This window comes from Homo sapiens, chromosome 5 (assembly GCF_000001405.40).
Source record: "Homo sapiens chromosome 5, GRCh38.p14 Primary Assembly".
Taxonomy (NCBI): domain Eukaryota; kingdom Metazoa; phylum Chordata; class Mammalia; order Primates; family Hominidae; genus Homo; species Homo sapiens.
Genome location: NC_000005.10, coordinates 123,420,127 through 123,447,027, shown reverse-complemented (window position 1 = coordinate 123,447,027; position 26,901 = coordinate 123,420,127). Strand labels below are relative to the sequence as shown.

General features: G+C 40.0%; 1 protein-coding gene across 10 annotated transcripts in view, besides 2 other annotated features; it reads left to right on the top strand.

Annotated features, from left to right (window-relative positions):
• CEP120 (centrosomal protein 120) overlaps positions 23,186-26,901 on the top strand; it is a 78,951-nt gene continuing 75,235 nt past the window's right edge. For 5 of the 10 annotated variants that reach the window (NR_164685.1, NM_001375406.1, NM_001375405.1 and 2 more), the window contains exon 1: positions 23,625-24,078. Coding sequence is in view for 4 of the 10 variants with exons in the window: in NM_001375406.1 (NP_001362335.1) it covers positions 24,030-24,078 (49 nt within the window). In the remaining 6 variants the exon portion in view is untranslated. Of the gene's footprint in view, positions 23,520-23,624; positions 24,079-24,161; positions 24,562-26,901 lie in introns of those variants that run through there. The other 5 variants (NM_153223.4, NM_001375408.1, NM_001166226.2 and 2 more) reach the window with 4 other exon arrangements.
• Positions 23,414-24,359: an enhancer, noted in NCBI's record as "H3K27ac hESC enhancer chr5:122758363-122759308 (GRCh37/hg19 assembly coordinates)". NCBI's record gives its function as "activates a minimal SCP1, AML or CMV promoter by ChIP-STARR-seq in primed H9 embryonic stem cells {active_cell/tissue: H9 hESC(primed)}" and the evidence as "EXISTENCE:reporter gene assay evidence [ECO:0000049][PMID:30033119]".
• Positions 23,925-24,084: a silencer, noted in NCBI's record as "silent region_16273". NCBI's record gives its function as "represses an Ori minimal core promoter by ATAC-STARR-seq in GM12878 lymphoblastoid cells {active_cell/tissue: GM12878}" and the evidence as "EXISTENCE:reporter gene assay evidence [ECO:0000049][PMID:35858748]".

The window sequence follows — 26,901 nt, the reverse complement described above, 5'->3', positions numbered from 1 at the left end:
TTGTGCTTCAAAGGATAAAATTGACCACATTAAAGGTTGGATGATTTTTCTGTTCTTGCCCTCAAAGGAGCAGGTGCCAAATGGAATTAGACATGCAAAAACTATGCGAATTTCAGACATTTTTAAAGGAACTCTGTGTGAAAATTTTCCATCATATATGGTTTGAGACCAAAACATTCTAATATGGTAAAAATTAATAGCTTTCATACACACAGTAAAATACCCAATGTAATTTTTTCATGACTGTGCAACTCATGTGTACTGTATATTGCTGTATACTGAAGGACACAAAGCCCCAGCCCAGGTCTGGCAGTGCCTGTAAGAGCAAGGCTACAGACTCCATCAGAGCTCTCTGATGATCAGGTGTTCACACAGTAGCCATTAATGGCCTTTTCATTTGTTTGTTTTTAATTAATAAACTTTGTCTTAGAGCAGTTTTACGTTTACAGAAAATATGAGTGGAAAGTACAGAATTCCCATATACTCCCTGTCCTCACTCCGTCTCCCTACCCTCTACAGTTTCTTCTGTCATTAGCATCTAGCGTTAGTGTGGTACATTTAGTGAGCCAGTATTGATACATTATTATTAACTAAAGTCTACAGTTTATGACTGGGTTCACCTTTTTGTGTTGTACAGTCTATGGGCTTGACAAATGTATAATGACATGTATCCACCATTACAGCATCATAGAGATCAGTATTATTGCCCTAAAAATCCCCTGTACTCCACCTATTCCTTCCTTCCTCCCTTACTCACTCCCGCCTCAAACCCTTGGCAACAACTGTTTTTTGTTTGTTTGTTTGTTTTTTACTGTCTTCATAGTTTTGCCTTTTCATGTAGTTGGAAGCACAGTATGTAGCTTTTTTAGATGTGTATTTAAGACATGTATTTAAGCAATCTGCAGTTAAATTTCCCCCATCTCTTTTCATGACTTTGTAGCTCATTTCCTTTTATCTTTGCATGAATGTACCACAGTTAGTTTATCCATTTACCTATTGAAGGACATCAGTATTGCTACTCTGTGCCCCCTCCCCTTTTTTCTTTTCTCTTATTTTCACAGGGGTTCAACTGTGGCCCTTTTAAAGATCAAAAACAGCACTTTTATGAGGTATTACCAACTTATTTATTAAGTACTCCAGTGTGATTCTCACTTTATGCAGAAGGAAATATAGCAGGTAGGATAGGCAGAGATTTTCTCCATTCCAGACTCAAGAGAGTCCCAAATCTTTCTAGCACAAAACAAAGCTTTAATCATAGTAAGTAGGGATTTCTGAAAAGAACTTAATGTTTATGGCTGTTTCCACTTTAATCTCAGCTACTAATTAATACCCTTTCAGCAAGTAAACTTTGAGACTCAAGCCTGAATCAAACTTGTATTTCTAAAACTTTGTAAATATTGTTGGTAGTTTTCTAAAGAGATGTTCACTGAAAATAACAACAGAAGGTAACGCTGGATTGTAGGAAAGGTATTCATTTTCTTCTAGCTTTCCAGTAAATGGAGATAGACTTTTAAAATCCATTTCCGCCCCAAGAGAAACAGATGGTTTTCTCTTCCTAGCACACCTGTGTTACTGGTTACCCTTAGTCAGACAAAGCTTTAGACACAAAAGACTCGCACTGGTTTACTAAAAAAAAAACCTGTATAATTATAATACACATGTTCTTCTACAAAGTGTAAGAGAACTGAGGTGTTTTCCAGTTTTTTTTAAAAAAAACTACAATTGTCATTAATAAAAGATTTTACTTAAAAAATAAAGGGAGATCAACTGCCTTTTATTCTAACCACAAAAGTAAAACATGTTTGGTCAGGTGTGGTGGTTCACACCTGTAATCCCAATACTTTAAGATCTGTTGAACCCAGGAGGTTGAGGCTGCAGTGAGACGTGGCTGTGCCATTGCACTCTAGCCTGGGCAACAGAACAAGCAAGACCCGGTCTTTATATATATATATATAATTTCTAATAGTTGTTATCTAATAAATTTGGTTATTTAGTGGCAATGAAAATCAAGGCAAACTAAAGAGTGCAAAACTGATTTATTTTTGCATATACACTGCTTTCAGCTTATAGTCCTTGTAAATTCTTCTTCTGCAGTCTAGTAGTATACAATGTTGACCTTCTGTATCATTTACGGAAAACAAAAGGAACTCAAGAAGTGAAATAGCATAACAGTATGCTCCCTTTGTGAAAATTATGTAGCCACCTGTGTCCCCAGTTATAGTTTAGGTATTCCACATAATAGTGGGGATAGCAAGCCACTCTAACTTAATGCTTTTCCATTGTTTCCTGAGGAACATGGTAAATTCACACACCTACTCAACTAAATCTCCAGGTTTTGCACTATACCAGGGGCTCTAAAGAATGTGATGAACAGGCAGAGAAAAAACCTCTCCATATTCTCTCTGAGCAGAGAAAATAGGTAGGTGCCATCCTCACTATTTTGCAGAGAAGACTAAAAAACTAGATCAGAAGTATAGCATATGTAGGTTTATTGCCATGGTATAGATTTTTTTGGATTTTTATATTGATTTTCAAAACACGGAATTTTTTGTTAATTTTTTAATTCATCGGAGACATAATACAATATATACAGATTGTATATAAAAAGAATAAGTGGAAACTTAGGCTTAAGTTGCATCAATAAACAGACCTAACACAGTATTTTTTAGTCTTTATTATCTGTAAAAAAGAACACAATTCAAGAAGAGAAGAACGATCGTATTTAATCTAGCTCTCCTCTCACTCCCTTCTAGCAGAATAATCTTTTTACTTAATGTGTATGTCTGTGACACAATCTGCTCTTGTAAGACATACAATCATTCACCCAGATCCAGCCATGAGTAATGCAAGATGAAAAATACACACGTGAATTTCTTCTTCCTGTAACTTTAATTGTCTCTTAGAGAAAGAGTAGAGGATGCCAAACCTTTGTATAAATCAGAATAAAATGTGATTTTAAAAATGTGTATAAAATCCTGTCTTGTCCATATAGTTACTGCTTGGTTCAGGTGGATGTTTTATTTCCTAATTAGATTGTAAACTCCTTTTGGGGAGTGAATTTATCTCATCATCTTTTTTTATTCCCTTATAGTATATACAATGAATATTTGTTTACAGATTGCTTTGCAAGGCTTCAGGTAAATGAGCTAAAAGTGATGAGAAGCATGTAATAAAATATACTCATAATAAAAGTTAGTGCCTTGAAACAATATTACTCTATATTAAATAATTCTGAGGACAGGCTCAGTAACTCAGGCCTGTAATCCCAGTACACTGAGGGGCTGAGGTGGGAGGATACTTAAGGCCAGGTGTTGGAGACCAGCCTGGGAAACATAGCAAGACCCATCTCTACAAATAATAATAATAATAAAATAAATAAATTTAAATGTTAGCAGGGCATAGTGGTGTACATCTATAATTCTAGCCACTCGGAGGCTGAGGTGGAAGAATCGCTTGAGCCCAGGAGTTCCAGTTGACTGAGAGCTATGATTGCCACTGCATCCAGCCTGGGTAACAGAGAGAGACTCTACCTCTAAAAAAATAAAAATAAATTCTGGGGCAATGGCTCACACCTCTAATCCCAGCACTGTGGGAGGCCCAGCGGGCAAATCCTTTTAGCTCTCCCGTTGGAAGCCAGCCTGGCCAACATGGTGAAACCCAGTCTCTACTAAAAATACAAAAAAAATTTACCCGGGCATGGTGGCATGTGCCTGTAGTCCCAGCTACTCTGGAGTCTGAGGTGGGAGAATGGCTTAAACCCGGGAGGTCGAGGTCGAGCCAAGATCATGCCACTGCACTCCAATCTGGGCAACAATGTGAGACCCTGTCTCAAAAAAAAAAAAAGAAAAAAAAATATATATATATATATAAAATAAATATAAAGTTTAAAAATCTGAAAGACAGGGTTTATTTGAAAATAAAGACATTTCTAAGTTTTCATAGAGTGCAGTGAACCTCCACTAAACATAGGCCATTATATATTCTGCATATGTATATTGTATACATATATGTGTGTGTGTGCATTCCCTATCATGTTTGAAAATAACTTTTTGTCCCAAACATGATAAATAATCAAGAATAGAAATATACCATTTTATAACTGTTTCACTCTTAGGTAAGACTAAATTATTAAAAACTTTTGTTTTTCTTGCAAAAATAACAATAAAAATGGAAATTTGACCATCAGCTATTTGTTCTCCCATAAAAGGCTGTCATTGCATATATCTCTAAAGCTAAACTGGAATTTTAAGTTTTCTTTGCCTCCCTCTTTAACTACAACCCTTTATATTCAGAGGAGCAAAGAGTGTAGTGTCTGTTTCTGAAACACACACACACACACACACACACACACACACACACACACACAGCTTCCAGATGGCAGGTGATTAAAAGATATTTACTGCATGCCTTTTTCTTTCAGTGTTTTACTTAGATGCTTATACAAATCAGTAACAATTTGAAGTTTTCGTAGTAACTTATGTTAATACCACTATCCTAGATAGGCCTTTACTAATGGATTAAGATATGGAATGCTGTTAAATGCATAATAGTCTTAATTTAAAAAAAATATTTTTAATGCTATAATAACTATTTACAACAAATGCCTGGATTGGCCTACATAATAAACTGTGAGTTAATTATACATAAAATAGATTGACCAGATTTGAACACTGAAATTCTAAAATTAAAAAAATAGGCTGTGAATTTTATAACTACTGTAGTATGAGTATTTCAAACACATGTTTTGGTGGTCAGATTTTTTTTTAAATAGGAATCAACATAGCACACAGAAAAAAAAAGGTAGTAAGAAAACCAATGATTTGCATGATCTACTTTTGCCTGAATAGTCCATCCTCTGCCAACTAAACATATTCAATTTTTCTGTATCTTGGAACCAATCATTAAAATGATGATAATATTTACTAGGCACTTACATGCCAGGCACTATGGTAGTTCATTGAATCCTTAAAACAACATTATGAAGTAGATATTACTAAAGCCATTTTACAAATGAGAAACCTGAGGCCTAGGAAAAGGTTAAATAACTTGCCCAAGGTCATGGAGCTAGCGATTCAAATCTAGCTGCTCTAGCTTTACAGCTGACATTCAAATCTAGCTGCTCTAGTTTTATAGTCTACGCCCTTAGCTCCTGTTCCATTGCTTCAAAAATATGTATGGAGCAAGGACAACGTGTCAGGTACCCTGCTGGACGCTGAGGAAAACATAGCTGTGTATTTTCTGACCCCAGTGTAGCCTAGTAGGAGAGACAGACAACAAAAAATAAGACAAATGACTAAAATAATTACAGATTTATGTGTATGGCTACAGCACAGGCATACAGCTCCTAGGCTTGGGGTGGCGCTGAGTCAGATGGTTCTTCCTGACATCACTGTGTCATCTAGTTCCTGCAGTAGCATCTCTTTTATGTTCTTCTGTCCTGCACTGTCTCAGTTTTCAAGAAGGTTGAAGTAACAGAATACAGGAAAGCATTTGATTTGTGTCATTGACAAATGTGTCAGCTGAATTGTTGATCTAACCCATAACAGAAGCTAGAGGGAATTATGCCAGAAGGGATGATTCCAGTTCCATTACAGAAATTTACTGCCTCCCTCAGAAGTCAAATTACTAACCCTCAAAGTACCCCAACTGGGCATCAGGCCCACCTGGCATGTAGGGCCATGCGTGTTTAGTTTGTACCCTGGTATAGTGGCTTTCAGTTGATGTAGACTAACTGATTATTATCTTATTTATGGCTAATTTTATGATTTTATGGGGGCATCGTTTTGGAATAAGGTCCAATTGCATCTTATGGCAAGAGCTACACCTCTGAGGATATTGTCAATCAGATTTATAACTCCATTTAAGTGTAGGGCTGTTTCCACCATTGAAGTATGTACATGATTATTTAAATGATACACAGGATTGCCTTTAATTGCTTGACTGGAACAGGTTCCTTCCACAGTCATGTACCGCATAATGACATTTCAGTCAATGATGGACTGCATGTATGACAGTGACCCCATAAGATTATAATAGAGCTGAAAAATTCCTACTGCCTAGTGATGTTGTAGCTGTAGTACCATCATAGTGCAACACATTACTCAAGTGTTTGTGGTGATGCTGATGCAAACAAACCTATTGTGCTGCCAGTCTTAGAAAAGTATAATACATGCAATCATGTACAATTCATAATTCTTGATAATAAATGAGTATGTTACTGGGTTATGTATTTACTATGCTATACTCTTTATCATTATTTTAGTGTTTACTCCCTCTACTTATTAAAAAAAAAGTTAACTGTAAAGCAGCCTCAGACAGGTCATTCAGGAGGTATTTCAGAAGAAGGCATTGTTACCACAGGAGAGGACAGCTCCATGTGTGTAATTGACCCTGAAGACCTTCCAGTGAGACAAGATGTGGAAGTGGAAGATAGTCATACTGATGATCCTGACCCTGTGTAGGCCTAGACTAGTGTGTGTGTTTGTGTTTCAGTTTTTTAAAAAATGTTTTAAAATTAAAAAATTTAAATAGAAAAATGTTTATGGAATAAAAATATAAAGAAAGGAAACTTTTCGTACAGCCTGTACGATATATTTGCGTTTCAAGCTATTACAAAGAGTCAAAAGCTAAAAAAAACTTTAAAGTTTATAAAATAAAAAAAAAAACACAGTAAGCTAAGGCTACTTTATTATTGAAGAAAGAAATTTTTAAATAAACAGTGTAGCCTAAGTATACAGTATTTACAAAGCCGATAGTAGTATACAGTAATGTTCTAGGCCTTCACATTCACTCACCGCTCACTGACTCACCCAGAGCAACTTCAAGTCCTGCAAATTCCATTCACGGTAAGTGCCCTAAATAGGTATGCCAATTTTCTCTTTTATACCATGTTTTTACTGCACCTTCTCTATGTTTAGATAGGTTTAAATACACAAATATTTACTATTATGTTACAATTGCCTACAGCATTCAGTACAGTACATGTGTAGAGGTTTATAGGCTAGGAGCAATAGACTATATCATATAGCCTGGGTGTGTAGTAGGCTGTACCATTTAGGTTTGTGTAAGTGCACTCTCTGATGTTTGCACATGATGAACTTGCCTAACGATGCATTTCTCAGAATGTATCCTGTCATTAAACAATGCACATGTACTCACTGGCTGTCTCCCTACGCATGATCTCCACGAGGAATCTTAGAAATCGCCATACCAGCAAAGAAACAAATCCAGATGGTCTCCACATGTGGTCTAGGCCTTAGCGCCTCTGTAATACTTCAGGAAGCAAGTCAAAGCACTTATACAAAATCTGTATCTCTGAATGTTGTTCCACTTGAGAAATGTATTGGTTTTCTAGGGCTGCCATAAGAAAGTACCATGGAACATGTGACTTAAACAACAGAAATGCATTTTCTCACAATTCTGGAGGCTAGAGGTCCAAGATCAAGGTGTCAGCAAGGCTGGTTTCTTCTGAGGCCTCTTGGCTTGCAGATGGTTGTCATCTCCTGTGTCTTCACATGTCTCTCCTCTGTGTCCTAATCTCTTTTTTACAAGGTAACCAGTCATAGGGCCCACTCTAATGGCCTCATTTTAACTTAATTACTTCATCAAAGGCCCTATTTTCAAACACAGTCACATTCTGAGGTTCTGGGGGTTAGGACTTCAACAGATGAATTCTGGAGGAACACAAGCCAGCCTGTATCAGGAGAGTTCATCAGATGGGAGAGCATTCCCTGACCAACATGTCATTCAGTTATAGAGCGTAGGGGTTCATGGTAACTCCTCAATTCCTGAACAGTTTCCAAGGCTGGCCTAGGGCAACAGCCAGGTCTGCTCCCTAACGCTTTACACAGGGCAGCTTCCTCCAGCAAGTGTTTGCTAGAGGGGTGTGCATCCCGGGAAAGGAAGTGAGGTAGTAAAAATAATATCGAATCATATACAGAAAGTGACTCAATGTGCTTGCAGTTCTTCTGAGGAAGTCCTTGAACAGTACCAGTTTGTTAACGCTTTTAACTATGCTAAAATGCTAACTCCTCCTACCTACTCCCTAACCTTTTTTTTTTTTTTTCTAAACAAACAGAAATCAAGCCTCAGGCTCAAGAGCCTTTGGCAAGCAGCAGCAACTAGCCTTAACTAAATACTTTTTAAAATTGTTTTCTGTTTGTTTTCATTGAATTAATGAGGTTGCCTTGCATATCTATTTGTGGTAAATGATACAGTTTCTTAAAATTAAAATATTAATATGATTTTATTTAACAAATATTTACATTTTAAGAAGTGAATCATTTCCAAAAATATTAATGATAGCACAGGTGGTAGGCAGATATGGAAAAATCATGAAGGTAGTCTACAAGGGATCTAAAGTCTTGGAAATGCTGCTGTACCATAAAAACAGAAATACTGGTTTTAGTGACTCTTGAGTTGTCCACTAAGGGACACTTCTTAGAGCAATGGCACTTCCAGCTCTACCCTGAGCCACCATTCTCAGTACGGCAGTCAACACTTGTTTCCTGGGCCTGGTTGGTTTAAAGGCAATGTCAACTTCTTGCAACAATGACTGGGCCTGAGCAAGTCAGCTGTGGCATTCCCCTAGCCACAGGACTAGTTCAGAAATGAGCACGAGGGCCAATGAGAGCCAGTGAGATTCCAGCTGCTTGGAAAGAAATGTTCTTGCTTTTAGGAGAAAACTCCTAGAAGAGACATCCCCTCTTTCTCTGGCAGTCTGGCATGCTGTTGCAATGCCCAGGACTCTTACAGCCTGGCTTCAGGGAGGGAAGCTGACCTGAGAATGAAACAACTTAGAGAAGACAGCACAAATGAAAAATTTGCACTAATCCTAAAACCCTTCCTACTTCTAAAGTATCAAAGGCATACATTTTCTTATTCTGTAAGCCAATTGGGGTAAAGTTTTCCATGTCTTGCAGCTGAAAGCACACTAATACTGATACAATATATATAATATTGAAGAATTATTCAAAAATATATATGTATCATCTAACTTACCACACCATAGGTTTTGTGTGAATTGAGTTTCGCTTCATAGGTTGGAATGAATAAGAAAAAAGAAGTGGCTTTAGTCTATCTAGTCTTGATTGAAGTTAATTACCTAAAATAGCATCTTAAATATTAATTCTAAAAGTTTCCATTAAATACAGCATCATAACATGGTTAAGTTATAAGAGATGATGGCTTTTAGCAATCACAAAATGTCAATGATTTTCAGCAAATCTCAATAATAGGATTTATGCTTAAACTATGTTTTACCTGTATTATCCTTGGGATCTCATCTGAAAATATCAATGCTGATAAGAAGTGATTAAAATACATTCTTTGTGAATAATTTATGTATCACATCATCACGCTGAAGAATTACATTAAAGAGAGAGTTCAATAACTATAGCAACACTGGAAGAATAATCCTTATGTTTTTTAAAGTGGTGTCTTTTCAGATGGCTCATTCAGTCCTTTAAATTTATTGAAATATTTTAAAACAGCAACATTAACACTACAAAATTTAAGGTGAGTTCCTTTTTCCCTCTTTAGTAAAATTATGTTATATTCTATTTTGTAATTCGCATGTCTAGGAAGTCAGTACCTTTAGAGTGTGGGGAGGAGAGGAGGTGATGAAAAACAGATGCAAGATAATCACGCGATGATTTTCTAGGAGAAATGTAACTGCATTGAAAGTATATGTTTTTGAAGATTACTTAGGTGCCAAAATAATTGTGGCATACCTGTATTACATTTTGATAGAAAAATCATCTGACCTTCAAACATGCTTATTTGGGGGTTTCCAATTTCTCTTCATTAAACTCAGCAGTATTTATTTTGCAGACTGCAGATCCACAGGCATATTGCCACCCATCTTCCATTATTTACTTATATTTAATTTGCTAGATTCATACATTTCTACATATTATAACAGCATATGGCCACAGCGGAAATAAAGTATTCAAGCTGGCTGAATATTGATCATCGAGATTTAAATTGATTTCCATTTTGCTGACACAAGAAAGTAGGAAAAAAGATTGCTACACCAAAAGAGAAAGCTCTTAAATTAAGGAAAAATGCATTAAATTGGCTCTATTCTTTTTGGTTGCGGAGTTCATGTTTGAGATTTTAGGAGGGAGGGCAATATCTGAACTACCAACTAATTAGACAACTAATATGAGATGATTTGTAGGTTCTACTTCTAAAAATCTAAAACATTTGAATCCAAGGAGACTTTGTTTAGGGGAAGAGGGCTTGTAAACAAAATATCTTAATGAGTAAAGTTTTGATTGAAATAAATGCCATAGATGGATATATTATTAACTTTGAATAAAGCCACGGTCAACCTATTTGGGGGGGGGGGAGATGAAGAATGTAGTGAATAATTTTTCTCTCATTACTGGATATCTAGTTCAAATATGTTTGATTTAAATAGATTTGAAGTTAATGAACAAGAAAAACTGCTATGAAGTTCCACCTCTTTGTATGAAAATGATAACATTAGGGACCCATACTCATGAAAACCAGGTTGGGCAAGGAGAAAGGTAAATTGATCTAGGCAGAAACACTTTAGGGGAAAGAACAAGAAAGGAAACATGACCGCACTAGTAAGATGAGTGCTCCCTAAGCTCTACTCTTAGAAGTGGTAAGTTGACTATTTGCATGGGATGACAATTGGATCTATTGAGCTGCATTTGTTATACCATTTAATGCTTTTTAAGTGGAAGCAAACTCAAGCCCTGGAATGTCTGCTCAGTTTTCCTAAAACTTAGAAGCTTACTTTAATTTAAAAAAAAGAAAAAGAAAAAGAAATCACCAGCAAACTCTACTGAAAATAGGTATGTGATAAATTTATTTGATTCCCCTGTGTACATTCAGAGGTAAATTTTTCAAGATAAACAACAATGTGGATTGGGGCATTTGAAATTTGAGGAAACTCCCGGGAATCTTATGGTGCCTGATGGTTCTACTTTGGTCCAGTTAGGAAACAGGAGAAAGACCTTGAAAACCTCTGATTTCCACACAAAAATTGAAGTTTAAAAGTTTGACAAACGGAGAAAGCTACTAGCCAAATACAATAAAATATTATAACATTTTATTGTGAAGAAATGAATATTCCAAGAAAGTGTGTAATATTTTGATTCATTTACTTTACAAAAGAGGATATTACTCAAATATATCATGTCGGGTTAGATTTCACAGTCAGTCCATCTACTGGCTAAAATCTATTATGTATCATATTGAGCGCTTATTGTACTCCAAGCACTATCCTAGGCCCTGGGGATAGAATGTTAAACAGGTGAACAAACAAGATGCCTATCTCAGGTAACTTAATAGATTGTACTTCATTGGCACTTGTCTAGCAATATAATGACACTAATTTAAACAAGGATTTAGGATGCACTATATCAAAACTCTTAAAATTCACAACAAGGAAATAATAACAAACACATTTGATATATGTGTGTGTGTGTGTGTGTGTGTATATATATATTTTTTTTTTAAGACGGAGTCTCACTCTGTCACTCAGGCTGGAGAGCAGTGGCGTGATCTTGGTTCACTGCAACCTCTGCCCCTAGGTTCAAGCGATTCTCCTGGCCTCAGCCTCCCAAGTAGCTGGGACTACAGGCGCCTGCCACCAGGCCCGGCTAATTTTTGTATTTTTAGGAGAGATGGGGTTTCGCCATGTTGGCCAGGGTGGTCTCGAACTCCTGACCTTGTGATCCACCCATCTTGGCCTCCCAAAGTGCTTGGATTACAGGCATGAGCCACCACACCCTGCTAATAAAATATCTTTTTAACTTCACCCTGCTCAATAGACATCATTTTAGTGTGTTCATATTCCTTGATAGAGATAACAGAACCCAGTTTGTTAATAAATGCTGCCTGGATAGTGGACAAAACTATAATAGTCTCTATCTTGATCCTTTGTAAATGTTATATAAATAAGAAGTAGTAGAAGTGGCTGACAAATACATAATTTCAAAAAACATTCAGAAAATGCCACTCACTGTATCAGTGGGTATTCGTTTAAGTTCTTCAGATGTCTAGATTTTTAACCCCCCTCTCCTCCCCCTCCCTTCCCTCTCTCCCTCTCCCTCTCCCTTTCCCTTCCTTGTCTCTTTCTTTCTCTTGTCCCCCTCTCACTCCCTAATGGAATATCCTCTGGTTGTCAGGCTTCTTGTGGTACTGCCAATGAAAACACTAATATAACATATAAACTTAATATTATATCTCTCCCTTTTCTTTCTTTTGTTCAATTTTTCCTCTTTCTCCTAACACTTATAGTTAGACATATTTTCCAATGTTAACCTATTTACCCTTATCCCTGATATTCCTCCAAAATCATCTGTTTACAGTCACCTTAATATTTGAGCCTTTTCCCAAAGCATTACTATAAATTTTTCTCTTCTCCTCCAGTGCAATAAATAATTTCCTTTCACATTATCAAAAAGCTTCTGAAATCAAATAAATACATCATAATGTTTTTCTTAATGTATCAAAGAATGGCTGGCAATTTTCTCAAATGCAATCTGAGTAAGACAATCTCACAGCCACATTTCTTTATCTGCACTTAATTATGTATTCATTATTGTCTTCTACACATATAAGAATTATATCTCTATTACTCTATCACTGGTGTAAAGTTCTAACATAGTTATAAATTTAGCTTCATTTATTTATTAAATGGGAATTTATTGAGTCTTTACTATAAATTTATTCAAGACACTTCTAGGCACTAGGAATATGGTAATAAAAAAGACACTATTTTATAAGTTACTATAATTTACATTTATCAACTTTTGGAAGATTATATTTTTCTGGTTAATGTTAAGCCTGTAAATGTTGATATTACAGACTCTTAGCCAGAAACTTTTTTTAAAAGAAATCACTATTTTGTACCTCTGATTTCACTAATCTGGGATATTAATCAATTTTATGATTAGCAAAAGTACTTCACATTCATAACCATTTATAGAGTACACTAACATCCTGTTTTCACACTCAGCAATTATAAGGGTACCTCTCAGTTAAACATTCAGCCAAATGTATCTGGAGTACTAGAATATCCAAGTGAAACTTCCTAAAAATTTCATTCACTATATTGATGTAACAACGATTTTAACATGTAATTGGAATAATAACTTTAATCTTCTTCTACCCCATGGAGCATAATATGGAAGTAGCACATTACTTCCTCTTAAACATTAGGAAATGTTCCCCTTTTACTAATCCAAACAGCTTTTAATGTGATCTGGCTCAAGAATGTGGGTGATGAGCTTCTCAAAGTTTCCCCAAGTTACTTCTTAAGTGCAGAGGAGAGTTAACATGGACATGGTTTCTGTAGGTTGAAGGCTGAAGATGTAATCCAAAACAAATTTCTCTGAGGTATTATATTTTATATTTAAAAATCATGCAAGGCCATGCGTGGTGGCCAATGTCTGTAATCTCAACACTTTGGGAGGCCAAGGCAGGCAGATTGCTTGAGCCCAGCAGTTTCAGACCAGCTTGGGCCAGATGGCTAAATACCGTCTCTACAAAAAATCAAAAAACTAGCTGGTCATGGTAGTGCATGCCCATAGTCCCAGCTACTCAGGAGGCTGAGGTGGGAGAATCATCTGAGCTCTGGAGATTGCGGCTGCAGTGAGCCATGATCATGCCACTGAACTCTAGCCTGGCTGACAGAGTGAGACCCTATCTCCAAAAATAATAATAAATAAATCATGCAAATGTTTATTGTATCCGCATAGTTTCTATTTGTTTTATTATAAATACAATGTTTTAATTTCTTACCATTGATGAACATTGTTGCTCTACAACATGATATACTGTTTCTACTCCAGTTTCCTGGCACAGCTCCATGTTCTCAGGGTAATTTGAGAATAACTTGGGTAGCTTAACACAAGCACTCAGAAGACCTGAGCTCTGATTGTTATCAAATCGCTCAGGTTATCAAACTTCAGATTTTCTCATCTGTTAAAAGATGGTAAATCCCCTGCTTTTCCTCCCACAGTGTTGCTTAGGAGATCAAAAGGGGCAATATGTATGACTGGTTTATTCAACAATCTGAACTTGGGTCAAGTACAAATATGAAATAGTTCAATTTTTCTCCAAATATTGCTTTCAGCTATGTTCCACTGAATCTCTTTTTCCCATCCCTTAATCACAACTTTGTCAGATACCATAAGCTTTCTGATCACTTCCAACTATTAAAATGTCAGTTCATTCCATTTTGATCGAATTTAAAATTTCATCTCATATCTATTTGAAGTCTCATCTCCTCCTACCCCGCCAATTTCAGCAAAGTTTCTGTCTGAGGGACTTGGATTCGGGTGGGAGCGGGATCAATTTTTTTCACTCCTGTTTTTGGGAGCCTTTTCCTGGGGATCAGAGACAGACTACAAATATCCTTAACTTAGCCATGTGGCTGTGTTCCTCACTTGTCTCTTGCTCTTTTTCTGTTAAAGATCCATCAGTCGCTGATGCTAAGTGGATCCCAGCTAAATGTAGAGTCTCTCCTGGGACACGTGTTATTTCTGGGTTGATGTTGCAGAGTGGTGGAGTGGGGGGTCCCGGTGCCATATATTCTGTTCTGAGAGACCTGCATAACTCAGTGACTTCTGACATCTGCTCACCTCTTTTGAAACCAAATCAGTTCTTATTTTGGATTCTATACCAGGTAACGTTATGCTGCTTCAGTCTTCTCACCGGGTGGCCTGTCAACTTGGACACCAAAATCACTGAAAGTGACCTGCCGTTATATTCTTTTCACCCACAGGAATCTCACACATTTTTGCCACAACAAATTTGGACACAGGCTGCTAATCAATTCATCATCTCTCTCTCTCTCTCACACACACACACACATACACGCACAGTCTTTCTCTCTTTTCTTTCTACTCAAGCATTAATGGTGAATTGCTGATTAGCAAGTTCACTCATCTCTGTGAGAGGTTCCCTTTACCTGCCCTCTTCTACCTGGCTTGGGGTGAGAAAGGGAAGTGCTCCCACCTTCTAAACAGAAAAGACCTCAGGCTTATCACTCAATACTCCTCTGCTCATCATCTAGTAATATAAAGTTAGGTGGTGCTAAGTTGATGGCTGAGGGTAGCAAAGTCAGTGTCATCTCCTCTTACCAAGACTGGGAGTGGTATCTGTGCCTCAGTTTCCTTGGGTGTTCTTTAGAGAAGGGGGACACAACGCCTCTTTGTCATCCCTTGGGTCATAGGTGATAATGTGTCTGGAATTGGTGGGTTCTTGGTCTCACTGACTTCAAGAATGAAGCCGCGGACCCTCGCGGTGAGTGTTACGGTTCTTAAAGTGGCGCATCTGGAGTTTGTTCCTTCTGATGTTCGGATGTGTTCCCAGTTTCTTCCTTCTGGTGGGTTCATGGTCTCGCTGGCTCAGGAGTGAAGCTGCAGACCTTCGCGGTGAGTGTTACAGCTGTTAAGGCAGCGCGTCTGGAGTTGTTGGTTCCTCCCGGTGGGCTCGTGGTCTCTCTGGCTTCAGGAGTGAAGCTGCAGACCTTCACGGTGAGTGTTACAGCTCATAAAAGCAGTGTGGACCCAAAGAGTGAGCAGTAGCAAGATTTATTGCAAAGAGTGAAAGAACAAAGCTTCCCCAGTGTGGAAGGGGACCCTAGCGGGTTGCCACTGCTGGCTCTGGCAGCCTGCTTTTATTCTCTTATCTGGCCCCACCCACATCCTGCTGATTGGTAGAGCCGAGTGGTCTGTTTTGACAGGGTGCTGATTGGTGCGTTTACAATCCCTGAGCTAGACACAAAGGTTCTCCACCTCCCCACCAGATTAGCTAGATACAGAGTGTCCACACAAAGGTTCTCCAAGGCCCCCACCAGAGTAGCTAGATACAGAGTGTCAATTGGTGCATTCACAAACCCTGAGCTAGACACAGGGTGCTGATTGGTGTGTTTACAAACCTTGGGCTAGATACAGAGTGCCAATTGGTGTATTTACAATCCCTGAGCTACACATAAAGGTTCTCCACGTCCCCACCAGACTCAGGAGCCCAGCTGGCTTCACCCAGTGGATCCCGCACCGGGGCTGCAGGTGGAGCTGCCTGCCAGTCCCCCGCCGTGCGCCCGCACTCCTCAGCCCTTGGGACTGGGCGCCGATGGGACTGGGCGCCGTGGAGCAGGGGGTGGCGCTCGTCGAGGAGGCTCGGGCCGCACAGGAGCCCACGGAGGGGGTGGGAGGCTCAGGCATGGCGGGCTGCAGGTCCTGAGCCCTGCCCCACGGGAAGGCAGCTAAGGCCCGGCGAGAAATCGAGCGCAGCAGCGCCGGTGGGCTGGCACTGCTCGGGACCCAGTACACCCTCCGCAGCCGCTGGCCCGGGTGCTAAGCCCCTCATTGCCTGGGGCCGGCAGGGCTGGCCGGCTGCTCCGAGTGCGGGGCCCGCCAAGCCCACGCCCACCCGGAACTCGCGCTGGCCCGCAAGCGCCGCGCGCAGCCCCGGTTCCCGCTTGCGCCTCTCCCTCCACACCTCCCTGCAAGCTGAGGAAGCCGGCTCCGGCCTTGGCCAGCCCAGAAAGGGGCTCCCACAGTGCAGTGGTGGGCTGAAGGGGTCCTCAAGTGCCGCCAAAGTGGGAGCCCAGGCAGAGGAGGCGCCGAGAGCGAACGAGGGCTGTGAGGACTGCCAGCACGCTGTCACCTGTCAGTAACACTAAGGCAATAAATAAAAGTCACCATTCAACTTGCTGTTAACTGTTACACTTGCTAGAACCTGCTTAGAAACATACACATTTATGCAAATACAAAGCATTATGTTGGCAGCAGAAACACATACCATAATTCAGGAAGAACAGTTTTGTGGCTGATGCAATAGTCAAGGGATAGAGCTTTGTTATACCCCTTGTGAAATGGGTGACTCAGCTTACTAGCTGCTGGCTGCGGAAACTTCTTGTGCAGTTGCTTAATATATGATGGAGGCTTTTCTTTTCTCTGAACCCAGGTTGTATGTTTAGAACCTTCCTCTGAATTCAAAGGGGAGGGGGGTTACTATTGACTGTTGTTATAATTTATTTATTTATCTATTTTGTTCCTTGAAACACAGAGAAGTAGGGGATAGTTTTATAACCTTCAGGTGTACTTGTAATGTCAGCATTAAATAGAACTCTTCTGCCAGAGATAGCCTGTAGTACAGAAGATTCTGTGTTATCATTTACTGGGGTCAGACTTTTATGGGCCAAAACACTCAACCAGAGCCTGGGGAATTTCTTTAGCAGACAGCTGAGTAGGCCGGCACCAGCTCTTCCTCTGCTATTGGCTCCGGGGTGTCAAAAGAAAGATTTTTGGATGAAAAAAAATCCACACACATCAGACATTACACAATAAGTGAATCAAAGTCCCACAATGTCATATAATGTTCCTCAATGTCACAGTGTTACAGAGAGGGATTCCAGCATCTACCATCTGTTCCAATCTCTACTCCTAAAATGAAGCCCATTCACAAGTCATCTGTCTCTAGAATGTGGTCATTTTACCAATGGCATAGTTTTTTCAAAGCAAACCTGAGCAGCATTTTTTGTTGGCCTGAAACCCTTTGCTGTAGTTCCAGAATGTCCCTACCTCTGCCTTTCCTCCATGGAGTAGGGAGCATTCTCCCACCCTCCACTCTATACCTTGCCTCAGGGAGAGCCACTGTGACACACACCACAACAGAGTGGCTCAACGCTCATCTCAGTCTAAAGTAATCCCATGAAGCTTACAACACAAAGGACAGTGTGCAAGAAATGTTGCTTTTCTTTATACTCAAATTCAACCCCAATCTCCTTCTGCCAATCAACAGGAAATTCAATCTCAGTAATCACTGGGTCTTCCCTCTCCACATACAAAGTGCTGGGCAAAGGTGCTGGAGTTCTCACACAGAGCAAATATTGGGGGAGGCCTTGCTGGCTCTTGCCTTACTGGTCACTGATAAGCTAATACCCAAGCCAACCTGCTGAGTCTGTCAAATTAGGGCATAAGAATCTATGCCAAGGATAATAAACCAGGACCTATGGTCTCACTTCTCTAGGGTTCCCACGGGGCCACTTTCTGTGTCTGTTCCCTGCCCAAGGCTCTGCCAAAGAGTGGAATGTTGGTCCCCACTACACTTTCCTTCATCCTGTTTCTTCCTAGCTTTAGGCAATCTCTTTTATTTACTGCCGTCTTTTCTCTGCCCTGACATCTATCACAACCATCTCAATGAATTTGGCTGAAGGTAACTAACCTGTGGCTGGCAGAAGTGTTTGGTGATTTTTTTTGAGACAGAGCCTTGCTCTATCACCCAGGCTGGAATGCAGTGATGCAATCTTGGCTCACTGCAACCTTGCCTCCCAGGTTCAAGCAATTCTCATGCCTCAGCTTCCTGAGTAGCTGGGACTACAGGTGTGTGTCACCACGCCCAGCTAATTTTTGTATATTTCATAGAGATGGGGTTTGGCCATGGTGGCCAGGGTGGTCTCAAACTCCTGGCCTCAAGTGATCTGCCTGCCTTGGCCTCATAAAGTGCTGGGATTATAGGCATGAGCCACTGCACCTGGTCTGCTTTTTGTTTTTAAACTAAATTTCATTATCGGCATTTAAAATTTGCATGAGTTCACATAAAAATCTGTAATTCTATCTCCTTATGAAACTTACAATCTGTCTTATTGCATGGCAATGATCAGCGGGAGCAGAGCAGGGCTGCTCCTTGAGACAGCTGTGTGCCATACTTCTGCCCTCACCCTGCCAGCCCACTTCACTACTTGACCATACCTGACCTGCAGGATGGTTTGACTTTGGCATGCTCTATTGTGGTGTTTTCACAGAAGTCAGGGAGATATTATGCATTGCAGACCTGTATCAAAATATCTCACATAACCCATAAATATGTATACCTACTACGTGCCCACAAAAATTAAAAGAAGCCAGGGAGATAGGAGCTGTTTTGGGGATATCACCAGTAGAATATAAATATAGGCCAAGGTGAGGGAATATAAGGGTCTGGTTACCTTTGTAGAACCAAAGAAAGGGAACAAATTTCAAAATAATCCCACAACAAATTATCCCTCCATACTAACAATAAAACTAGCTACCACGTTTGGCGATTTCATCGTGTCCTAGGCCCCTCACAGAAGCAATCCCATTTAATTCTGACAAAAACCATGTGAGGAAAGGACTAATACCCTGTTTTACAGATGGAAAAACAGGTTCAGAGATAAGTGACTTGGCTAAGTCACAAAGCTAATAAGTCATGGAACCTGAAATTCAGGGACATATGACTCTTTGATACTGGGTTATCTTGCCTCTCTTATGATAGATGTTAGAGGCCCTTCTTCCAGGGATCAAAGATGCCTAAATTAATTGCCAAGTTAAATTACAGTAGATCCTGAATTGAAAGGGTTCTGTCTTCTTGACACTAAGCGATGAGGACTAGTTATCACTTTCATGCCCATTGCCTCTTTCTAATGGAGGCAATTTTAGAAGCACCTCTTGAAGTTGGGTCTGGCACCATGCTTTTACAAACTGCAGTTATTCAACAGATGGGCTAATTTTATTAGTCTTTGGGAGCTTGCCTAAAATTTTATGAAGTGTGTGTGTATTTGTGTGTATACAGTGGAAGAGGCTGAAGAAGAGAAACATAGCTCATCATTCCTCCTGTGGTGGTCCACAGAAGTGGTTGACGAAAAAAAATATAGAGAAATCCTACAAAGTAAAATGTTTTTCCAAAAGGTAAAACAACTACAGCAAAGAAAGTCTTAAAATATGTCAGAATGCTTTGTTTTATTCTTTTTTTGATAGAAAGTTATGGAAATAGAAAGCCACCTAATATGATTAGTTACTAGGTTGACAAACTAATAAATTCAGAATCAAGCCTTTCATCAATTCTGTCAGTTTCACCCAGGCGTGGTGGCTCACACCTGTAATCCCAACACTTTGGGAGACCAAAGCGGGTGAATCACCTGAGGTCAGGAGTTCGAAACCAGCCTGGACAACACGGTGAAACTTCATCTCTACTAAAAATATAAAAATGAGCTGGGTGTAGTGGTGTGCACCTGTAATCCCAGCTACTCAGGAGGTTGAGGCAGGAGAATCACTTGAACCTGGGAGGCGGAGGTTGCAGTGAGCTGTGAGCCAAGATCGTACCACTGCACTCCAGCGTGGGTGACAGAGCAAGACTCCATCTCAAAAAATAAATAAATAAAATAAAAAACCTGTCAGTTTAAATTTATAAGCTTATAGTGTAATGAATCTCATATTGTCTTATAGATAAAAATTACATGTTACTAGCATTTACTTACATATTTTGAAACAGTAATTGGTACTTTATTAACTTACAACAAGATTTTCCCTCATAAATTTAAGCTTAAATGTGATGATTTATACTAGAACTGAAGTTACTACTGTTTAATATCACATATGAAAGGAAATTAGATTATAGAAAAACAGATATAGATGATGATAGGATTATAATTCCATTTCTAGATGAGGAATTTCATATCATTGATTTTGTACATTCTGTTAGAGGAAGCACCAGGCCAACTAAATTGGTGACTTTTCAGTAGCTGTGCTGAAAGTGATTTTAGAAATGATGTTGTTCAGGAGGAAAATCCAAATAAAGGGAATCATGTGAAATTTACTACATGAAAAAGTTTCTTTGTTAATTTTAATAATCTGTCAGATTTTTTATGACCTAAAACTATTCTATGGCATACAGTAATGGTTTATAATCTAGGTGTGAAGCCCTGCTAGATATCCTAAAGCAAAACAACAAGGTATGCTGATGGACAGTTCCTGGCTCTTTTCACAGCTACTACTTAAAGTCTGAGATTGTTCATATAAAAAATAGTAACTAAGTGGCATTTACTACATTTAAGTCCTGCACTAAAGAACCATGCATACTATCGTTTTATAGCTGAAACTGAGGCTCAAAGAGGGAAAGTGATTTGCTTAAGGTCACCTGACATGCAAATAGCAAAGGTAGGTCCCAAACTCTGATCTTCTGGGGTACTCATTCCATCAGAGGTACTTGGGCCTCTCTTTGTCTATAATGCTAAGTACTGTCTTGCACCACTGATAACATTATACTTCGCTTGTGGTTAATTTGTTTCCTAATCTTTAAGTGTTGTTAATGTGTACATATTTATTAGACTTCTCAACAGAGGATATGTTAAACCACAACATTGGTATTATACCAACAAAATTCAGACTGTGGTAAACTCTGCAGACACGACCAGTTTCTTCAATAAAGAATTTCAAGAAAAAAAAAAGAAGGATTGGGTACCTCCATTAGTCCGTTTTCATACTACTATAAAGAACTGCCCAAGACTGGGTAATTTCAAAAGGAAAGAGGTTTAATTGACTCATAGTTCAGCATGGCTAGGGAGGCCTCAGGAAACTTATGGTCATGGCAGAAGGCAAAGGGGAAGCAAGGCACCTTCCTCACAAGGCAGCAAGAAGGAGAAGAGTGAGTGAGTAAAGGGGGAAGAGCGCTTAATAAAACCGTCAGATCTCCTGAGAACTCACTGACTATCAGGAGAATAGCATGGAGGAAACCACCCCCATGATTCAATTACCTCCATCTGGTCCCTTCCTTGACACTTGGGGGTTGTGGGGATTACAATTCAAAATGAGATTTTGGTGGGGGCACAAAGCCTAACCATATACATTAAAAAAGACAAGAGACATACCAACCATTGTATTTTGGAACTTGTTTGGATCCTGATTTGAAAAAACCGACTGCAAACAAATTATTAGACAATCAGAGAAATTTGAACAGTATATATTTAATGGGATTAAGAAATTTTTGTTAATTATTAAGTGTAATAATGGGATTGTGGTTAAATACTTAATATTTTAAGATTCTTTAAGAAGTCGTTATCTTTTTTTTTTTTTTTTTTTTTGAGACTGAGTCTTTCTCTGTGGCCCAGGCTGGAGCGCTGTGGCATGATACCGGCTCACTGCAACCTCTGCCTCATGATTTCAAGCGATTCTCGTGCCTCAGCCTTCTCGTGCTTCAGCCTCCCAAGTAGCTGGGATTTCTGGCTTGCGCTACCACGTCTGGCTAATTTTTGTATTTTTAGTAGAGACGGAGTTCTGCTATGTTGGCCAGGTTGGTCTCGAACTCCTGACTCAAGTGATCCGCCCACCTCAGCCTCCCAAAGTGCTGGGATTACAGATGTGAGCCACTACCACACCTGGCCAAAAAGTCTTCATCTTTTAGAAGTACGTATCCAAAAAGATGAATTGATGTGATGTTGGGGATTTCTTTAAAAATAACACAACAGATGAAGATGATTGGTCTTAAGTTGATAATCGTTGAAGCTGGGGTCTGGGTAACTGGGGGTTCATTATATCATTCTGCTTTCTTTAAAGTATGTTTGACATCTTCCACAAAAATAATGCATTGTTCAATGATGAATCCAAAGTAGATCATTACTTTGATTTTACATTGAATAGTGCTTCATTTTAAGAATGCCTGTGATAGGACCTGAAAGGGCCTTAGAAGTAATTAGTCCAATCTCTACATATTCCTCCTTTTCTTTTGGGCAGAAAGCAAAGAAGGAAGAATAAAGAAGAGGAAGAAGAAAACAATAGTGATATTATATTATTTGCTCTCAAAATAACTTCTAAATTTCCAAAACAAGGAAGCAATAGAAGAAAAAGAAAACAGCGAGATATTATATTTGCTCTCAAAACAACTTCTCAATTTACAAAACCAGAAAGTAATAGGAGAAGCCGCACTTATGTCCACTACCTAGTGCTATCTCTGCAGCTTTATTTTATTATGATTTACTTTTGTTTTCCGAAGCAGAATTTTTCCCAAACTTAATAGTGTCCACGATCGCTCCAACCAATTCGGTTATTTAAGTTTCAAGCTAGATAACCTCCAAAAGAACTTTGCCTTTGACTTGAATACATGCTTCTTGCAATTTGAGTAGTGTTTAGGAGGCCGTTCCCTTTACAAGTCTTGAACCGTTTCTTAAATCTGAATTTGGGAGACGTTAAGGGGAAAGGGTCGGCAGACAGCACCTCAATGCCTTGTTTATTTTTGGTTTTGAGTTTGCTAATAACTTTGTCATCGGGGGTGGAAGAACCTTTATATTTCATTGCCCACGTGACAGTGTTTTTGTTTTAGGGGTAATTTCTAAGGGACAGGAAATTCTCGGGGAGTTTACGTCAGCTTTAACAAGTACAGTAATTACCGTATTGAAGCTACTTGTTTTCAAAGGTCGGAAATTTGAGGTGCCGCGTGAGCACGATTTAGGGACTTTAGAGTTTAGATTTAAGTCATTATTTTTTTGTGATTTAATTTTTTAAGCAGTGTTGACACTGGGTACGTCAACTAAGCTAGGTTTTTTTGTTTTTTTAATCCCCACTAATATAACTCTCAGGTTGTGGCTGAAGCATAAAGCAGGTAATACGCTACACTCACGCTCCTTAAAGGCTACGCAGCTTCAGGAAGCGTTTACAGCAGTAGTGCGCTTGCGCAGCTGGTCCCACACCAAGTCGCCCGCCTCTCCTCGTCCGGCTAGCAGAGGGCGCTGTGAGGTAATGAAGGCGTCCTCCTTAGGGCTCTGGAACAGAGCGTAAAAGGGCGGGAGGCGAAGCTCGCTGACGGGCGTTCTAGCCTTGACTGCTCTGTCTCTATCACCCGTTGTCCTCCAACCTCCCCTGGGCACTGGGCCTGCGGGCCTGGTTGCTAGGCGGAAGCTGGGCGCGGCGGCGGCCGCTGCGGCCGCCCGGGCGTTTGAAAAGCGGCTACGCAGGCGGCAAAAGGTCCTCGGGTGGCGGGCTTGTCTCTGCTTGCAGACTGGCAGGGCTGCAGCGTGGCTTTTTCCTTGAGTCGGGGCACAGTTAGGATCTGGGCTGGCGGCCCGAGGCAGAGGAGCCGGGCGCGCTGCAGCAGACGGCGGTGGGACCTGGCTGCGGAGCGGGGTCCGGGCATCAGGGACCGGGGGCGGGCAGTGGGGGTCCCGCCGGGGGTCCCGGATTACCCGCGACTCAACTGGACCTCACTTCCCCCCAGCCGCCTTCGCCCCCGGACCGCTCACCGCAACCATGGTCTCCAAATCCGACCAATTGCTCATCGTCGTGTCCATCCTAGAAGGTGAGCAGCCTGAGGCTTGCTTTTGCAACTGCTGCCTCCCGAGTTTTAAAAGCTTAGTGTGGGACCGAGGCCTTGTTAACCTTAAGAACCCTGTCATCTGTGCTTTTGTGGTCCCCACAGACTTGTTCAAAGTTGTACGTAGTGAGGTCTGTTAGGCAATTGATTTAAAAATCTCTCCAGGGATATGAGCGCTATTAGGGATAAGTGATATTTAGCGTGACTAGCCGTAGCCCCAGAGAATCTAGAGAAAACGATTTTCATCCAAAGCAGCACGTCGATGGCTTTTATATATGAGCTGAACGTGGTCCTGAGAAGCGCGTTCTGATCAGCGGTTCCCAATAATAGCACTTGTAAGAGCTTTGACTTGAATACAGGCTTCCTGCGATTCCAGAAGTGTTCCGGAGGCAATTCCCTTTACACGTCTTGCTGGAGGACTCAGGGGACTACAGTTCTTAAGAGGGTGTATTATACATTCCTTAAAAGGTGTGTTTTGGATGAATGACATTGGTTTATTGGGACTCATTGAGTGTCAGACACTGTGCTGGGAATGTAAGAATGAAACAGTCCTGATTCTAAAAAGCTAAGGATGTAGCAAGGAGAGTGTGTCAGCAAATAATTCATCAGGATGTGGAAGACCCTAATGAATGACCACCTCTGTCTAAGGAAACTGCGGAAGTTTCACTAGAGGAGGTGGCATTTTTTGGGGTCCTACAGATGATTAGGAATTTGTCAGGTGAAAAAAGGAAGGGCATTCCAGGCAAAGAGAAGAGCAGGGAGCACTTAAAGTATGGAAAAGCAAGACACGTTTTGCCTTGCTTAATTAAATTCACTCAGTAAACATTGGTTAAATTCAGTGTGGTTGGAGAACAGATTTGCAAGAAAGTGGAGGGCATAGGAGATAACAGGTGAATTGAGGACACTTTACGAATAGTATGTTAAGAAGGAGTCATCTTGAGCCAGAGCAGAAGCCTGGCTGCATTTTTTCCCCCATGGGAGAGTGTTTTATAAAGGCCTGGCACTGTGTGAGGGATGAGAGCAAAGGAAACATTGTAATCCTAATCTTTGAATTTTGGAACAAGAGACTGACCAGAAAAGCCATAAAGATTTGGAGCACTATTAACTGTTAGTTTACTTATTGTTTAAAAACATAGGACTGAAATAACCTTAAAATTTGGTTAACAACAGTTTTTAGACTTATAACTGACCATGCTATGAGGAAACAAATACCTCCATTCCCTCCAAGGATGTAGAGGTCTGTCCACGTGGGGAGATCACAGGACACAATATGTTGGGGTATAATATTTAAAATATGTGATATGTACTGTAAATATAGGTTTGAGGGTAGGGTGGGTGGGATGGCTGAAGTTCTTTAAATAATAAGTGAGCTTTAGATATGTGACAATAGAATTCTATGGACAACCCAGGCCAGTCTGACAACCCAGGACATAAATGCAATTCATTTGGGGAAGCTAGTTTTAGAGCAGCAGAAAATGAGGTCCTGAGAGAGGCCTGTTAGTGCTAATTGGGAGAGCTGTGCGATGTGTGTTAATATTCCTAATACAGAGTTTCAAGTGAGAGCCTCAGGCTTAAACTCAAAAGGTTAGCAGTCAAGGTCTTTCTGACCAGCTTGATTCCCAACCAAGTAGCTTGTGCCGGGGTGAGCATGGTGGGTGGAACATTGAAAAGATCAGCAAGATGACCAGGGTAGAGGAAGGTGAATATTTAGAAATGTCATGGTAAGAAATGAGCTTGTACAACTGGAGCGAATAGGCCTCAGAGGATCTTGAAAGCCAGTTTAGAATTAATGTTCCAAGAAATAGGTTGGCAGCATATATTCCTAAATAGAATGCTTTTCTTGAGTTCAGTTTAGTAGCAGTGTGCAAGGAAGAGAACCTGGAGTCAAGGATGTCTGTTAGGTTGTTTCCACAAACATACCCAAAACTAGCATGTGGTCCTCCCTCCAAACTATTCTTCTCTCTTGTTCGTACTGTATTTCCATTCATCATAACCATGCTGTTGCCTTAAGCCAAGAACCAAGGAGTCATCCTCAGCCTGGATTCACTCTCCATTTCTAACTTCCAAATGGTCATCAAGTATAATTGATTTTATTTTCTGAATAATAATAGATTCTACATACGAGTTTTTGAATGAATGAGTTTACATTGTGAGTGCCTTGGTAAGGGGCCCTCATTATCCACCTAACTTACTGTAATAATCTTTTCAGTAGTCTGATTCTTCAATGTTTTCTTCCTTTCCAGAAACATCTAGACTTCCTCCTTTACTCCCTGGGGATGATCTTTCTGAAATGCAAATCTGATTTTCTTAAAGTCCTTCAGTGTCCTAAAGGATAATGTCTGTATTTCTTAGAATGGCATACATGGCCCTTTGTGGTAGACCTCTTGCCTACCTTTTCAGTCTCATTTCCCCTCATGTATTCTCATCCCTTTGGCTTGGTGGAGGACTCGGGGGACTACAGTCCTTAAGAGTTAACTTGCAATTTCTTGACTACACTTTTAGAAATGCCCTTTATTTAAAAGAAAATGGTTAAGCTTTTACCATGAACAAAATTTGGGCTATGTACTAGATTCCAAGGATGAAAAAGACCATTTCTGTTATCTCTGTATCATTGTCTGCAGCAAGGCAGGCATCTGTTTGTTCCCTTCACATCCTCTGTTCTCAAGCTTGTTGGAAGCTGCTAGTTATAATAATATGGAAAATATAGGTTCTTTGACATATATGACATTCATTTGGGGAAGCTAGGTATCTTTTGGAGCAGCAGAAAATGAGGTCCTGAGATGGGCCTCTGTTAATGCTAATTGGGAG